General features: G+C 38.4%; 1 long non-coding RNA gene across 1 annotated transcript in view; it reads left to right on the forward strand.

Moving 5' to 3' along the window:
- Positions 1-17547, forward strand: part of LOC105379371 (uncharacterized) — a 73309-nt gene extending 55762 nt beyond the window's left edge. Inside the window, exons 3-4 of the long non-coding RNA XR_949668.2 lie at positions 16115-16188; positions 17404-17547. This is a non-coding gene — a long non-coding RNA (uncharacterized LOC105379371). The remainder of the gene's footprint in view (positions 1-16114; positions 16189-17403) is intronic.
- The last annotated feature ends 333 nt before the right edge of the window (positions 17548-17880 follow it).

Below are 17880 nucleotides of genomic sequence, written 5' to 3' on the forward strand. Positions count from 1 at the left end.
ACAGCTCCTGAGCTGCACAGCACAGGGGACACTTAAGCATGCTTAATGGGAAAGTCCGTCCCACATGTCCCCTGCAGTTCTCATCTGGTGATTTTTCAGCTTCTGCTTTGGTTGAAGTTAAGGTAATTACAAAGTTATTATTTGTCATTTCCATTATCTTTGGGGTCAGAAAGACATCTGTTGAAAGTTAGCATCATCTGTCATTTACGCCAGCTGGCGGCCAGCACCTGAGTGGACTTAAAAAGTGAGGCAAGGGGCTAGGTGTCCACGGAGAGTAGCTCCGTGCATGTCTGTGTGTGTGTGCATGTGTGTGTGTATATGCCTGCGTGTGTGTGTATGTGTGTGTGCGTGCGTGTGTGTATGTGTGCGTGTGGGCATGTGCATGCCTGCGTGTGCGTGCAAAAGAACCCAACCCTGCAGTGAAGAAGCCTGTGCTTTCTTGCAACATCAGTAATGATGAGCTGTAAAGAAACACGGAGTGCCACTGTCCACAATATTCTCCGCGTTTTTGAGTCACTTATGTGGGAAAAGTAATGAAGTCAGATGAACTATTCCTAGTTTCCTTCCTGCCGGGCTTTTTTTTTTTTTTTTTCTTAACTTGTACCACATAGTTCTCTTTTCAGAGTGGAAATGAGAAAATGGTCTGGGGTTTAAAATGCTGTTTTATTCAATGAAGAAATATAAGTGATGTATGTGGTCTGTCCTGGCCTTTTGAGTCAGCAAACCACCACAGTGTTTACACATTCAAAGTTATCAGTCGATCCTTCAGTTCAAGGCCAGCATTTTTTTTGTTTTGAAGGGTAAGAAAGAAGATAGGCTAGGCTGTAGCCGAAAAGCAGCCATAGTCAGCGTGTAAATGAATGTGTGTCTATGTTCCAATGAAACTTTATTTTTTTGAGGCAGAGCCTTGCTCTTTTACCCAGGCTGGAGTGCAGTGGTGCAATCATAATTCACTGCAGCCTCAAACTCCTGGGCTCAAGCAATCCTCCCACCTCAGCCTCCTAAGTAGTTGGGATGATAGGTGCATGCCACCACTCCCAGTTTTTTTTTTTTTTTTAATTTGTGGAGACAGAGTCATCTTATATTGCCCAGGCTGGTCTCAAATTTCCTGGCCTCAAGTGATCCTCCCTGCCTCGGTCTCCCTAAGTGCTGAGGTTACAGGAGTGAACCACCACAGCTGGCAATAAAACTTCATTTACCAAAACAGGCAATGGGGGCAGATTTGGCTCATAGGCCATAGTCTGTGAACCCCTGATTTTACTGACATTCCACAAATCTTGACCCTGAAGAAATAGGCATAAAATAGAGGCTTGCGATGGGATTGTAGAGCAAGAAGAGAGAAGAGCAAGGAGTCCTATATAGGTTCCCCAGGTATTGGGCTTGTTGTGATGCCCCAGAATCCCTCTGAGCAGCATGTTCACCACAATCTTTCCCTAAAGCTTATACCTACTGATGCAGACTAATCTTCCTTCAGGATGATGCTTTGCAAATCCAATTTTGTTTTATATGCTCTGAGAAGATAAAATGTTGGTACAGATCTTTCTCTTAGCACCTTGAAAATATGGGTAATGTTCAAAATTCCCTAAAGCTGAGCATTCAGATATTCAGAATACAACTGTTATCTGAGCTTAAACCATGGATTGTTACAGTTTTTGGATTACCTCACTTACCAAAAGGAAAACTAGCAATGTGGGTGTGTTAATAGTCTGCTCCTTTGTTAGATGGGAAGAATTTCACCTAATCCTCAAAGAGGAAAATGAAATCTTTATAGATCAGTGAAGTTAGTCCAAATGTCAGTGCAGAGAATGATGATATGCCGGACTGAAGACCAGAACTCAGCCTTCAGTGTGTTGAGCATTCGACAGGATTTAGAAAGTGGGGGATAAACTTTTAGTTCATTTTCACAAATGCCTTTACCTTTTCTCATAGGTTCATTTCAATTTGATCAGTTTAGGGAATATTATTCTGTTCCTTTGGATTTAGGGATTTGATTCTATTCTACTCAAGATGTTCTTCAAATTAATAGGAAACCAGGACTCACTTGAGCTTTCCTAAAATAACAAATTAACCAAAACCAAAGAAGTTTACAAAGACCCTAAAAATAATAAAGCAAGAATAAAGAAAAGAGCTAAAATTTAAGAATAAAGTTAAAGATGATCCATATTTAATATATGTATCTTTATTCCACTGATAAATTAGTTCTGAAAAACTTTCTCTTCCTATGGAGTCAGAAACTGGGGAGCTTGAGAGATTTACAGTAAGATGCAAAGCAGCATCCTTTACACAAATAACACTAACCAATATGCTTACATCAACTCCACTGGGTTTTCCAGGTATATGGTTGAAGGTTTATGTGGACCAGCTGGAAAAGTTGCTGCAACATCCTAATGAACATCTGCTACTTTCCAAACTCAACCACTCATTATGAAGGTTGTGGACACCTAAAAAGGGCTATAAAAGAAACAACCGTTCTTGTCCACTTGAGATTGGGAATAAACTGCTTTAGAGAAGATATAAATATGTTCAATTTATATAAATCAGGAAAAAAAAGAAATCTATGTATTTTGGAGACTAAAAATTTCTTAACAAGCCCTTTAAGATACTGCTTTTAACATCAATTAGCTTTATTTAGTACAAGCCAGTAAAAAATGGCCTCTCAATAAAATACCTTAGCTGTAACTCTGACTATATTCCTTCAATAGTGTTTCAATAAATCAGAGATAGATATTGATGAGCCATTGTAAATGTAAGTAGAAATGTGATTATTTTTACTATTGTATGAAATGCTTTGCCTGCATTAGACATTTGGTACTAGATGGCAGTAGATTGATTGCTACATGACTAGTAATTGATATAAATGTTATATGTTGGCATGAATTGCAATCCCATATAAAATACTGATTTAGAATAAATTGAAAAATAATTGGAAGGTGAAAAAACTTGACATTTTGGAAGTTGAACAATTTACATATATTTCAACATTATGTCAAATTCTTTATTTCATATGCTAAAATTAAAATAATTGACAGAAATTGCTTTAAGAATGTATATCTAAAATATAATTTCCACTTAAAAAATAAAATTTGAGTGGTTAAATCTGTCTTTACTATTGGGAATAATTTGGATGACCAACAGGCATGGCCATTCAGGAAAATGTTACCTCAGAGATATCTCACACTTCTTCAGTTATGAAATAAAGAAGAGGCTTTACACAGTCATGGGCTCAGTTTTACTTTTCTGGATTTATTATCAAAACTACAAAGATATTGATAGCATACAGAAATAATTATTAAAAGCCTTTCCAACACACAATTTGCATTATTGACTAATTACAATGTAAATACTTTAATTGAAACAATTACCAGTGGAGACTGCAAAAGCTCAATACTGTATAGATTGACTATTAATTTGTTAAACAAGGATTGCTTGCTTAATGCTTATTCTGTATATTACATTGTACTGGGAGCAATGGAAGTCAACAGTGAGTTATGTTTTAGGGTTACCCTTACCAGCAAGCTCTGGGACTAATTCATCTTTATATCATCCATAATGGCTAGAACAATCTTAGTAATAACTAACAGTAGTTATAAGCATTACTAGTTGCTATTTATCAAAATGTATCAAATTTATCCAAATTCCCATATGGAATCTACTGGGAACACACATGTAGATAAAAAAACAATTAACCTAAGGCTCAAATACGAGAATGATCTAATGAATTTAAAAATAGAAATTGTGAAACTGCCTTTGCAAAGATTATGACATCCAGAGAAGACTACCATGGCTGACTCCATCTTGCTTCTGGCCTCACGGGCTAGCTATCCTCCTTCATTCCTGGGCATAGGCCAAGTTAACCATGGGAGGAATTTAATTCACAGTTTAACTTGAAAGCAATGATGATAATAGTCCCTCCCTAAAACTGATGCCTTCCTCCTTCAAGTACTGAAACTGTCTTGGTAAGACTAATGAAAGGCCACAGGATAAGGATTATGGGAGGGGCCTGAATTCTGCTAAGAAACAGGGGTAGCTAAACAATAACCAGCCATTGTCCCCTAGTTCATTCGTTTTCTTTCTTTCTCTTTCTTTCTTTCTTTCATTCTTTCTTTCTTTCTTTCTTTCTTTCTTTCTTTCTTTCTTTCTTTCTTTCTTTCTTTCTTTCTTTCCTTCCTTCCTTCTTCCTTCCTTCCTTCCTTTCTCTCTCTCTCTCTCTCTATTTCTTTCTTTCTTTCTCTCTTTCTTTTCTTTTTTTGAGACAGAGTCTCGCTCTGTCCCAGGCTAGAGCACAGTGGCGCAATCTCAGCTCACTGCAACCTCTGCCTCCTGGGTTCAAGCAATTCTTCTGCCTCAGCCACCTGAGTAGCTGGGATTACAGACACGCACCAGCATGCCCAGCTAATTTTTGTATTTTTAGTGGAGGGATTTTTGCCATGTTAGCCAGGCTGGTCTCAAACTCCTGACCTCAGGTGACCCACCTGCCTTGGCCTCCCAAAGTGCTGGGATTACAGGTGTGAGCCACTGTGTCTGGCCCTTAGTTTTTCTATAATCTCTTACTGTTCAGGAGTCATGTGGCCAGAGTTCACAAGGTTTGTGACTTCTCCAATTGTTCCTGTAGATAATATCACTATTGTAGAACCTAAGATTGGTCTTTTCAGATATTTTTCAGACTTTTGTTTTCTGGGAAGTGACTGACCCCACCTGGACTTGTGACTCATGACTGAATTGGCCCTCTGGCCCTCACCCAGAGGTGGATTCAGTGCAGGAGGAACCATTTTCCACACCCCTATGATTTGACTTAGAACTGATCAGCAGCACCCATTTCCTAGCCCCTGCCCACCAGATTATCGATAAAAACCCTAGTCTCTGAGTTCTCAGAGAGGCTGACTTGAGTAATAACAAGCTCCTGTCCTTCTGCTTGGCTGGCCTTTCATTAAACAAATGTTTTCTTTACTGCAATAACACTGTCTCAGTGAATTGGGTTTATCTGTGCAATGAGCAAGAAGAACCCATCAGGCAGTTTCAACTGGGCTATATAATATGTTTAATAAGGTGATATGTGTACTCTGCTTGACCTCTGATACCAAATAATTTTCATTTTTGCTGTTTTATTTAATAATTAATAAAAACATCATGCACATCTCAAAGAGACTAAAGGAAAATGTGCTACATATGTCCCTCCAAAAGGAACAATACACATTATTTCTTATTATCTTATAATCGATTTCAAATTCTTAGCTATATGAGTCTTTTTTTTTTTTTTTTTTTTTTTGCTTTTTTTGAGATGAAGTTTCACTCTTATTGCCCAGGCTGGAATGCAGTGCCACAATCTTGTCTCACTGCAACCTCTACCTCCCGGTTCAAGTGATTTTCCTGCCTGCCTCAGTCTCCCAAGTAGCTGGGATTATAGGCATGATAGGCATGCTTCACCTTGCCTGGCTAATTCTGCATTTTTAGTAGAGATGAGGTTTCACGATGTTGATCAAGCTGTTCTCAAACTCCTGATCTCAGGTGGTTCACCCGCTTCGGCCTCCTAAAGTGCTGGGATTACAGGCGTGAGCCACTGTGCCTGGCAAGAGTCTTTTTTAAACTTTAGAGATGTGTGTGCAGGTATCCTTGCTCTGGGTCTATGTGGCTTTAAAGATATATGTTTAAAAAGAATGTGACAAACTGATAAAAATCTGGGAAGTGATAAGCCATGTACTCAAATAAGTTTCACAGATTTTCTAAGCATAAAAGAACACACCTGATATTTTCTGTATAACCTAAGCCTCACCCTTGCTTGAGGAAATGGCTCCTCATTGTTTCTTTTGTTGTTATTAAGATAACTGTGTTTCTCTTGCTTTCATCTTCTCTTTCATGGCAGGGCTTCCAAGTCCTGCGTAAATACAAATGCATAAGTGCAGGATACTTGGAATGTCCCGACTACAGGAACAAAGGACATAGTTTCTCATTTACATGCCCTGGAATGTGAGAAGTCAAGGTGGCGTAAGGCAGGGTTAGTGATCCAGGCATCAAGATACTTGTATTCCAGTGTTAGCTTTGCTAGTAGTCACCTTTGGACCTTGAACAAATCCCTTAACATCTCTGAGCTTCAGTTATGTAATCTATAAGATGACCTGATTACTAGCATGCAAATCTCAGTTTCTAATACCATTTGCCAGTTAAATGAACCAGTGCTACTTAGAAAAATGGCTGATTTGAGGACTGAGGCAGGGAATATGTCAAATGAGCCTGGAGCATCTTGTAGTGCCAGAAAGTAAAAGAGAGCTCCAAAAAGTAATATTATAGGGACACAGGAGCCAATTGAAAGAGCTCCCAATGGCTAAAATTAGAACTATTTGAGATATATGTGTGTGTGTGTGTGTGTGTATATATATATATGTGTGTATATGTATACATATATGTAATATAGTATTGGATTATAATCCAAAGCATAATGCAAAGTATAAAATACCTATCTATGAATTCATATTGATATAAATAACTAATTGAATGAATGAATAAACAGATAAATAAGAGATAAGATACAAATTGTCCATACAAAATAATTCCAAATAATTTATATAAATTTTCTTCCCTCAAGGACATAGAGCATAACTACCTACCCCTGAAATGTGGGCTGTACTTTGTACCTTACTCCCAAGAAGTACATATGAAACATGGAACAAAAAAGTAACTTTCCAGTGCAGAAACCTGGCAAGCACTATTCAGCATAATCAAGGCTAAGATCATGAGTGATAAGTCATGTTGATAGCATGTACCCTTTGTATGATATAATGAGAAGGGTATTTTATCTTTGTAGATGTAGAAGAGAAAAATAATTTTCTCCTTCACCCTTAATGAGTTCTTAGCTGGGATTTCCTCTATGAAAAGACAGATAAACAAGAGGAAAACAAACAGGAGTTTAATATATGTACACCAGAGGTATACATCAGGAGTTATATTCTGGGAGATATCCAGAGACATGAGTAAATCTCTGGAGTAGAACTCAAAGAACTCTCTTAGACTTCAGACTAAATATCATCTTTCTCAGAAATAAAGAAGTGACTGGGGAAAGTCCCAGTTAGCTGTAAAACAAAACCTTGTATTGCAGATTTAAATTCATGCCATTGATAATAATCTCTAATGATTTAGTCATCCTTCTCTTCCTAGTGCAGAGGGGAAGACACCCTTACAAATGGAGATTTCCTTTATATGTAAATTTTTCATACAAACAAGTAACTTCTCAGAGCTTCTCCTGTGTCTGCAGTTTCTCAAAATAACAGCTCAAAATACTCCTTATGCTAAACAGGCTTCCTTTGAAGCAGCATGTTCTGGCCCCTAGAATCATATTTTAGGGTGCTATATTCTGAGCTCTATACTAGACTTCTTCTCTAAAACTCATAATCCCAGTGTAACCATGAGAAAAAAAACATCAGACAAACTCTACTTGAGAGTGTCAGTTGAAGACTAATGAGGTCATAAATTTGGAAAGAAGAGCTTTATTTCTCATACAAAGTGCTACAGCCTGCAGGGTGGCCATTCTGACCAGCAGGGAAGCTTCTGGTTAGAAGCCAGAAAGAGGCACTTGAAGGGAGGAACGAAGGGGACAGAAATATATGCAGTGCAGAATGGCCAAATATACACATTCAATAAGCTGTAGGCAGATCCATGAATATTTGTGAAAGGAGAAATGTGTGCATGTGCAACTGAGCTTTGTGCTTCTTCATGGGTCCCATGTATAAAAGATGGCAGTGTTAGCATAATCCTGGGGTGGAGTTTTTGGTCCTCTGATTTCAAAGGTGAAGCAAAGGACACAAAAATTCTCACTGTTCATCCTCTGTAGACTGACCAGAACCACTCTGTAGTCAGTTGGTAGTCTCTTATCAGGAAGAAATGCTGGTCAGTTCTGTCAAAAATTGCAAAAGGGAGGGGCAGCAATGAGGTTTGGTTGAAGCCAGGTGTGGAGTCTTGCAAGGGCTTGTTTCTGTTTAGTCCTTAGGGAAGAAATCATCAAAGTAGTTAGTGAGTGAAGGGGTATAATGAGGTGTGCTCAACCTCCCATCTATCTCATTGCCATGAAGTCCATTTTCAAGATTTTTTCTGGGGTCCCCTTGGCCAAGAGCAGATCTGTTCAATCATTTGGTGGCTTAGAATTTTATTTTTATTTCTTAAGTGACATACTACAAAATTCCTAACTAGTATTCTTCAAAACTGTCAGGGCCATCAAAAATAAGGAAAGTCTGCAAAACTGTCACTCTCAAGAGGATCCTTAGCAAATAATGTGTTATTGGTAGCTTGATGGGGATAGCATTGAATCTATAAATTACTTTGGGCAGTATGGCCATTTTTGCAATATTGATTCTTCCTATCCATGAGCATGGAATATTTTTCCATTTGATTGTGTCCTTTCTTATTTCCTTGAGTAGCAGTTTGTAGTTCTCCTTGAAGAGGTCCCTCACATCCCTTGTAAGTTGGATTCCTAGGTATTTTATTTTCTTTGTAGCAATTGTGAATGGGGGTTCACTCATGATTTGGCTCTCTGTTTGTCTATTATTGGTGTATAGGAATGCTTCTGATTTTTTGCACATTGATTTTGTACCCTGAGACTGCTGAAATTGCTTATCAGCTTAATAAGGAGATTTGGGGCTGAGATAATGCGGTTTTTCTAAATATACAATCATGTCATCTGCAAACAGAGACAATTTGACTTCCTCTCTTCCTGTTTGAATACCATTTATTTCTTTCTCTTGCGTTGTTCCCCTGGCCAGAACTTCCAATACTATGCTGAATAGGAGTGGTGAGAGAGGGCATCCTTGTCTTGTGCTGGTTTTCAAAGGGAATGCTTCCCGCTTTTGCCCATTCGGTATAATATTGGCTGTGGGTTTGTCATAAATAGCTCTTATTATTATTGACCTTCTTCACAGAATTAGAAAAAAATGACTTTAAATTTCATATGGAACCAAAAAACAGCCCATATAGCCAAGACAATCCTAAGCAAAAAGAACAAAGCAGGAGGCATCACACTACCTGACTTCAAACTATACTACAAGGCTACAGTAACCAAAATAGCATGGTGCTGGTACCAAAATAGACACATAGATCAAAGGAATAGAACAGAGGCCTCAGAAATAACACCACACATCTACAACTATCTAATCTTTGACAAATCTGACAAACACAAGCAATGGGGAAAGGATTCCCTATTTAACAAACGGTGTTGGGAAAACTGGCTAGCCATATGCAGAAAGCTGAAACTGGATCCCTTCCTTACACCTTGTACAAAAATTAACTCAAGATGGATTAAAGACTTAAACATAAGACCTAAAACCATAAAAACCCTAGAAGAAAACCTAGGTAATACCACTCAGGACATAGGCATGGGCAAAGACTTCATGACTAAAACACCAAAAGCAATGGCAACAAAAGCCCAAATTGACACACGGAATCTAATTAAACTAAAGAGCTTCTGCACGGCAAAAGAAACTATCATCAGAGTGAACGGGGAACCTACAGAATGGGAGAAAATTTTTGCAATCTATTCATCTGACAAAGGGCTAATATCCAGAATCTACAAAGAACTTAAACAAATTTACAAGAAAAAAACCAAACAACCCCGTCAAAAAAGTGGGCCAAGGATATGAACAAATACTTCTCAAAAGAAGACATTCATGTGGCCAACAAACATACAAAAAAAAGCTCATCATCACTGGCCATTAGAAAAACGCAAATCAAAACCACAATGAGATACCATCTCATGCCAGTTAGAATGGTGATCATTATAAAGTCAGGAAACAACAGATGCTAGAAAGGATGTGGAGAAATAGGAACGCTTTTACACGGTTAGTGGGAGTGTAAATTAGTTCAACCATTGTGGAAGACAGTGTGGCAATTCCTCAAGGATCTAGAACCAGAAATACCATTTGACTCACCAATCCCATCACTGCACATATACCCGAAGCATTATAAATCATTCTACTATAAAGACACATGCACATGTATGTTTACTGCAGCACTGCTCACAATAGCAAACACCTGGAACCAACCCAAATGCCCATCAATGATAGACTGGATAAAGAAAATGTGGCACATATACACCATGGAATATTATGCAGCCTTAAAAATGTTGAGTTCATGCCCTTTGCAGGGTGAGGCTGGAAACCATCATTCTCAGCAAACTAACACAAGAACAGAAAACCTAACACCGCATGTTGTCACTCATAAGTGGGAGATGAACAATGAGAACACATGGACACAGGGAGCGGAACATCACACAACCAGGCCTGTCGGGGGTGGGAGGCTAGGGGAGGGATAGCATTAGGAGAAATACTTAATGTGGATGACGGGTTGATGGATGCAGCAAACCACTATGGCATGTGTATACCTATGTAACAAATATGCACGTTCTGTACATGTATCCCAGAACTTAAACTATAAGAAAAAAAAAAAGTTGATTGCGTTAGATAAATAATTTTTTTAAAATGTGGTATTTTGAATGAGATCCTGGAATAGAAAAAGGAGGTTAAGGAAACATAAATGAAATCCATATAAATAAGAAAATTTAGTGACTAAAATATATCCATATTGTTTATTATTTATGATAAATGTGCTGTAGTCATGTAAGATGTAAACAACAGAGGAAATTAATATGAGATATATGGAAAATCTCTGTATTATCATTGCATTTTTTCCTGTAAATTTAAAACTATTATAAAATAAAAGGTTTATTAAAATATTTTTAAATGACGTGGTTGGACTAGATTTTACATATTACCTTTTTAGTGTTCTGTGACTTTAACACCTGACTGTTAAAGTGTTATTCCTTTGTGCATTTGAGCTAAAATAAGTCTATTTGATAAAGTACAGTTCATTATAGCACATACAGAGGAATCTTGTGTCCTCAACTGTCTTGTCTTCCTAGCCCCAAACACTGAATTCTGAATACATGTTAATTACATTAAAAAAATTGTTATGATGATCATTTTCCCCCATTAAATAAATAGAAACAGATTTTGACTCAGGAAAGAAAACTGTTCTTGATTTATTGTACACTCTTTTCATCCTTAAGAAACCCCGCCCCCCAGCTAACAAACAATTGCAAAGTTTTTGAATGCATAGCACTTACATTCACATTGTAAGTCTATTAAAAAGTCTATTAAAATTTTGTGGCTAGGCATGGTGGCTCATGGCTGTAATTACAGCACTTTGGGAGGCCAAGGCAGGCAGATCACTTGAGGTCAGGGGTTCGAGACCATCCTGGCCAATATGATGACACCCCTGTCTCTACTGAAAATACAAAAATTAGCCTGTCGTGGTGGCACATGCCTGTGATCTCAGATACTCAGGTGGCTGAGGCAGGAGAATCGCTTGAACCCAGGAGGCAGAGGCTGCAGTTAGCCGAGATTATGCCACTCCACTCCAGCCTGGGCAACAGTAAGACTCTGTCTCAAAAAAAAAAAAAAAAACAAACAAACAAAAAAAAAAACTTTGCATTGCAATAGTTTCTTATGCATACTTTATACGTAACACAGTCATGTGCTACATAATGGCGTTTTGATCAACAATGGACCAAATATATGATGGATGTCCCATAAGATTATAATGGAGCTGAAAATTTCTTGTCACCTGGTGATGTCATAGCCATCCTAATGTAATAGCAACATGCGTTACATGTTTGCGATGACGCTGTTATAAACAAAGTTACTGAGCTGCCAGTCTTAGAGATGTCTAGCACTTACAGTTATATACAGTACCTAATACTTGATAATGGTAATAAATGACTATGTTACCGGTTTATGTATTTACTACACTTTTTATTGTTACTTTAAAGTGCACTCCTACATATATATGTGTATGTATATATATATCTATGTGTGTATATATATGTCTGAGTGTGTGTGTGTGTGTGTGTGTGTATAATGAACAGTAAAACAGCCTCAGGCAGGTCCTTCAGGAGGTATTCCCAAAGAAGGCACTGTTATCGCAGAAGATGACAGCTCCATGCCTGTTACTGCCCCTGAAGACCTTCCAGTGGGACAAGATGTGGAAGTGGAAGACAGTGATATTGATGATCCTGACTCTTTGTAAGCCTGGGCTAATGTGTCTGTTTGTGTTTTAGTTTTTAACAAAAAAATTTAAAAAGTAAAGAAAAAACTAAGATATCTTAAAAATGGAAAAGAGCTTATAGAATAAGGATATAAAGAAAGAAAATATTTTTGTACAGCTGTGCAATGTGTTTGTGTTTCAAGCTAAGTATTATTACAAAAAAGTCAAAAAGATTTAAAGAATTAAAAACTTTATAAAACAAAAAGTCACAGTAAGCTAAGGTTAATTTGTTATAGAAGAAAGATTAAAAAATAAATTTAGTGTAGGCTAAGAGTGCAGGGTTTATAAAGTCTTCAGTAGTGCACAGCAATATTCTAGACTTTTGCATTCACTCACCACTCACTCACTGACTCAGAGCAACTTCCAGTCCTAGAAGCTCCATTCATGGTAAATGCTCTGATATGGTTTGGCTGTGACTCAACCCAAATCTCATCTTGAATTGTAGCTCCCATAATCCCCACATGTCATGGGAGGGACCCAGTGGGAGGTAATCGAATAATGGGGTCAGTTTCCCCCATGCTATTTTCATAATATTAAGTTCCCGTGAGATCTGATGGTTTTATAGGGGGCTTCCCCTTTTGCATAGCTCTTACTCTTCTCTCTTCTGCCGCCATGCAAAGAAGGACGTGTTTGTTTCCCCTTCTGCCATGATTGTAAGTTTCCTGATGCCTCGCCAGCCGTGCAGAACTATGAGTGAATTAAACCTTTTTCCTTTATAAATAACCCAGTTGCAGGTATGTCCTTACAGCACCATAAGAACGGACTAATAGATGCTTTATATAGGTGTATCATATTAAATCTTTTTTACTATATTTTTACTGTACCTTTCCTATGTTCAGCTATGTTTAGATAAACAAACACACTATGTTACAATGACCTACAGTATTCAGCACAGTAACCTGCTGCACTGGTTTGCAGCCTAGGAGAAGTAAGCTATACCTAGGTGTGTGGTAGGCTGTACCATCTAGGTTTGTGTAAGTACAGTGTATGATGTTTTCACAACAAGGAAATTGCCTAATGACACATTTCTCAGGAGGTATCTCTGTTGTTAAGAAAAAAGACATTGCAACTATAACTAATTTTTAGTGTCACAACATAAGCAAATTCATTCACAGTCCTCACTCTTACTTTGGCACTTGTGCAGCTCAGCCCTGGAGGCGGTAGTTTGTAAGTTGTAAACTTTCTGCAAGTCCTGGTGACAGGGTTACTTGAAGGACTAAACTAGGCTAAGCTCTGTGGTAGCTGGAATGGATCTGCTCACTTCCTTTAGAGGCAGAAATTTGAGAAGCGGGAAGGAGTTGAGGAACCTCTTAGATACCTTCGAGCAAACCAGTCCACCTAATTAGAAGTGGTGTAATCTCCCTTTCCTTTCCTGCATGATTATAAATAGGAAGAGGATTTTAGAGGCAATATATTTATAAGGTAAAAATTTGACCTTGGAAATACTTAAGGATTTCTGATTTCTTATGGTGGCTTTGCTTTGTGACCGAGACTCCATCGTGCTGGGCTTCCCTGTCATCTCCATATCCTCATGGATCTCTAATTTCTCTACTCCAGGGCATGATTAGCCAAACCCTGTCTTCTCCGCTAGAAGTACTACAGGAATGAGTAAGTGAGGATCTGTTGGGGGCTTTGTGAGGTATGATCTATTTAAATGTGAAGATATTACTAAAATCACCACCACGTAGTTGGCAAAAGGCAAAATCTCAGAGCAGCAGCTATATCTGCCAATCATTTCAGAGAGACTGAAATATGCTGCCCAGTGAAGCAGGACCCTTGCTTTAAATGAGATGAGAGGAGGAAAAAAAAAAAAAAAGTATAAAAAAAGGATTTCTCAATGTGGTGACTCAAGCCTGTAATCCCAGCACTTTGGGAGGCTGAGGCGGGCAGATCACCTAAGGTCAGGAGTTCAAGACCAGCCTAACCAACATGGTGAAACACAGTCTGTACTAAAAATACAAAAATTAGCTAGGCATCGTGGTGGGCACCTGTAATCCCAGCTACTCGGGAGGCTGAGGCAGGAGAACAGCTTGAACCCGGCAGGCAGAGGTTGCAGTAAGCGGAGATTGTGCCACTGAACTCCAGCCTGAGCGACAGAGAGAGACTCTGTCTCAATAAAAAAATAAAAATAAAAATAAAAATAAAAAAACAAAGATTTTGAAAGTAACATTATGATGGAAAGATAAAAGCGATATTTGAGACACATATTTATTTGTTTACTCTTTTCATGAAATCTTCTGTAATCACACTTTTTGTCTATTTGTTTTGAATTAATACTTTTCTTTGGTTAAATTGTTAAATCCTACTACACTGACTCAAAATTGGTAATTGGTAACAAATGAAGTAAGATCAGCTATAATTTACCTTTGCAAAATCTCTGTATTTTTCATTTGCTTAAAATAAATCTATATATCTTCATTAAATGGTCCCAAATGGTTTAAACTATTCAAGAGAATAACCTTTTTAAGAGAAGTATAAAAGTCATTGAAAACTTCAGTTATTAATCGTAATTTCAATTTATTTTAATATCATAAACTTGTTTGAAGATTTTCACCAGCAACAGTTTGCCCCTGGTGTCCAAGTGGTTATAAGTACCAACATAATAACATTATGTCAATATGGAAGTACCGTAAAAGTCAGCTCTTTTAATACTTCATATTCATCTTGGCCCGAAGTATTAGTATTAGTATTTCTGTGTGTGTGTTTTGAATGTTAGGGTACTGAACTCATATGGCTTTATTTTACCCCTTTTGAATGCTTAGGGTTTTATGATCTAATGTTTGGGGTGGTAGTAGCCAAAATGTTTTATTTCAATCAGAGACTGCTTTCGTGGACAGAATTCTCATCCATTTTCTTGCTTGAGAACTCAATCTGCATGGTATCATAATATGACTCTTTATGGAATTGCTTGTGTTAGTCAAAGAAAGAGTTAAAGCAGCAATTGAGACTCTATTAATGAGTCTTTGTTGGCTTGGAATAGTATAGGTTGGGAGGGACATCTTTGTAGTTACATGCTTCTTCATTTTATGGATGATAAAGTAGGTTCCAGAAGAACAGATGGCTCATCCAAGCCACCCAGAGCCAGTCAGGTGCATCTGAACCAGGTTTCCCCAAAACATGCCTCATGTGTGTTGGTGCTTCTGATGAACTGTTGGGACCTTCCCCACGCTCTTCTCTGCCATTCAGGCCCAGTACTAGTTGCCACTATTTAAAAGCTTCCTGCAAGTAGTAAATTACTGTCAGAGAACAATAACCTCTATGGAGCTGCTTTCACGGGGCTGCTTGAACATCCGGCAAACTATTTCATCTTCAAGGGTGGAGCAGAGATTGGCGAAAAGTCTTCAAGGCACATGCTTATCACACCATTGTTTTCCATTGAGCCCTATCCTCATTTTGCTGGTGTCATGCATTTCTGTTGTTGCCTGAGAAGCATCTCTTTACCTCACTTTAAGAACATGAACTTTGAATGCATGAGGTTAATTACAAGAAATATTGGTACCTAGAAAAGCCTATTCTTTTAAAGGGTAACACATCAAACTGCCCTAATTTAGACTCAACTAATAAGATAATTAACTGAATTTTAAAAATAAAGAATCTATGGGTCCAAGGGTGCTCTATTATGGCTATATTCTCAAATGTACTGTACAATTCTCCCAGACAGCCACTATTTTCTTCTATTGATTCCCCTTGTGTTTCCCTCCCAAAGCTGAGAGTTTGGTCAAAGATGATGATCTTTTCTTTAAGGACAAGAACTGTATGTAGTTAGGAATATTAATGTAGCTTCAATTCCCTTCTACAGCCTCCATATCAGCAGCTAAATGCCATTTATTTAAGTTTATAGAAAACAAATTAGAGCTGAGAACTTTTCAGATCTATATTGAGTACTCAATTTCCATTTCTATGTAGCAAATTTACAAACTTTTAGAAGCAATAAAACATAATTCTATTAGAAACATACATTCTCTAATATTGTAATTGCATGCTTTTAAGTTGCTCAACAATCTGTTGTTGTTTTTTTTTTTCTTTTCCATAGGCAGCATTGTGTGGGTTACTGCAATATTAAAATGGCAGAGTTCCCTGACCTCCCTTGCAGGACAAGTGACAGAGGTATGTCTCATCTGTTCAACCACCATGTGCTCAAACCTCTTACAGGATGGGAAGCAGTACATAGACGTGCAGGTGCAGGAGCTGGGGCAAGCACTTTTGGGATCCAGCCCCATGATAGTGTCTAGGGGTGGGTGCCTGCAACTCCCGAAGACCCAGTGGGCATGTTACGGTTATCTTTTAGCTCTGCTGTTCGCAGACAGCTTAAGTGTTAACCAGCTCAGTGCCCTCTTAGTACCTGGGACATTGTCTGGCATCCAGAAAGAATCAGGTCACATGGACAAATTGAAGGATGGTAAATGTGGGAGATTTTATTGCTGAATGGAGGTGGCTCTCAGTGGGATGGATGAGGAGCTGGAAAGGGGATGGAGTGGAAAGATGATGTTCCCTGGACTTTGGAGGTCCCACGGCTGATCTTTTCTTTGATCGTCCCCAGCTGAACTCCTCTCTACGTTCAGACACTCCTTCTCTTGTCTCCTTCTCTGCTGTGCTGCTCTTCTGCTTCTCTGTTCCTCTGTTCCTCTGCTCCTCTGTTCTTCGGCTCATGGAGCCTGGGGCTTGGAGTTTATATAGGTACAGGATACAGGGGTGTGGCAGGCCAAAAGGCAACATTTGGGCATGAAAATAGGAATGCCTGTTCCCATTTTGGACCACAGGTTTCCAGGCTTGAGGGTGGATCCTTTGCCAGGGAACCACCCTCTTCTACCCAGTATTTCCCTGCCTCCTGTCCACATTAGTATTGTCAAGTAAATACTACTCAAACATTATATGAATTTATATCCAGGCTAGTAACCACCTTCCCAATCGATTAGCAGTACAGTGATTTACAATAGCTCTGAGAATATACCCTGTGGTCCTTGTGTATACTGAATTGGACTTCTTAATGTTACTGTTTAAATGAAATAAAAATTAGAAAACATTGATTTATATAGCAGGGTGGCTCCTAGATAAAGAAGCAGCAAAATACAGCGATCACTGTATGAAAATCGAGCTTATCAGCCACCTTGGAAAAGGCCAATAGAATGCAAACGTTAGCCACATGCTCTAATTTAGTGAAATCATAGCCACTGAAATCAATAATATTAGCACAAGTTTTTAAAAAAATTAAGTCTGGAACATCATTATGCTCATAAGTTTATGCCCAAATATTTATATAGTGAGAATAATGTTAGAAATCTTTTACTGGTCAGCAATCCATATGTTTTCTTTCCTCTGTAGCATTTACACCATTAATGTAGGTCCATGAGGATTATGGACCCAGAGAAAGGAATAACAATATCTTTTAAAAATCTACAAATGGAGAAGATGAAATATATGACAGGGCTGGAGGTCTGGTTCCAAAGGAAGAGGAAGAAAAGAGCCTCTAGTGGTGATGTATCCGTCCAATGGGTTCACCTTGCCCACTGCTTATACAGAGCTTTATTTATCAAGATGGGGAAACTGCAATAGAGAAAGAGTAATTCATGCAGAGCTGGCTGTGTGGGAAACTGAAGTTTTATTATTACTCAAATCAGTCTCCCCAAGCATTTGGGGATCAGACATTTTAAGGATAGTTTGGGGGACAGGGGGAAACCAGTGAGTTGACAATGCTGATTGGTTGGGTCAGAGATGAAAATCACAGGGATTGAAGCTGTCCGTTTGCGCTGAGTCAGTTCCTGTGTGGGAGCCACAAGGTCAGATGAGCCAGCTTATCCA

This window comes from Homo sapiens, chromosome 8 (genome assembly GCF_000001405.40).
Source record: "Homo sapiens chromosome 8, GRCh38.p14 Primary Assembly".
Taxonomy (NCBI): Eukaryota; Metazoa; Chordata; class Mammalia; order Primates; family Hominidae; genus Homo; species Homo sapiens.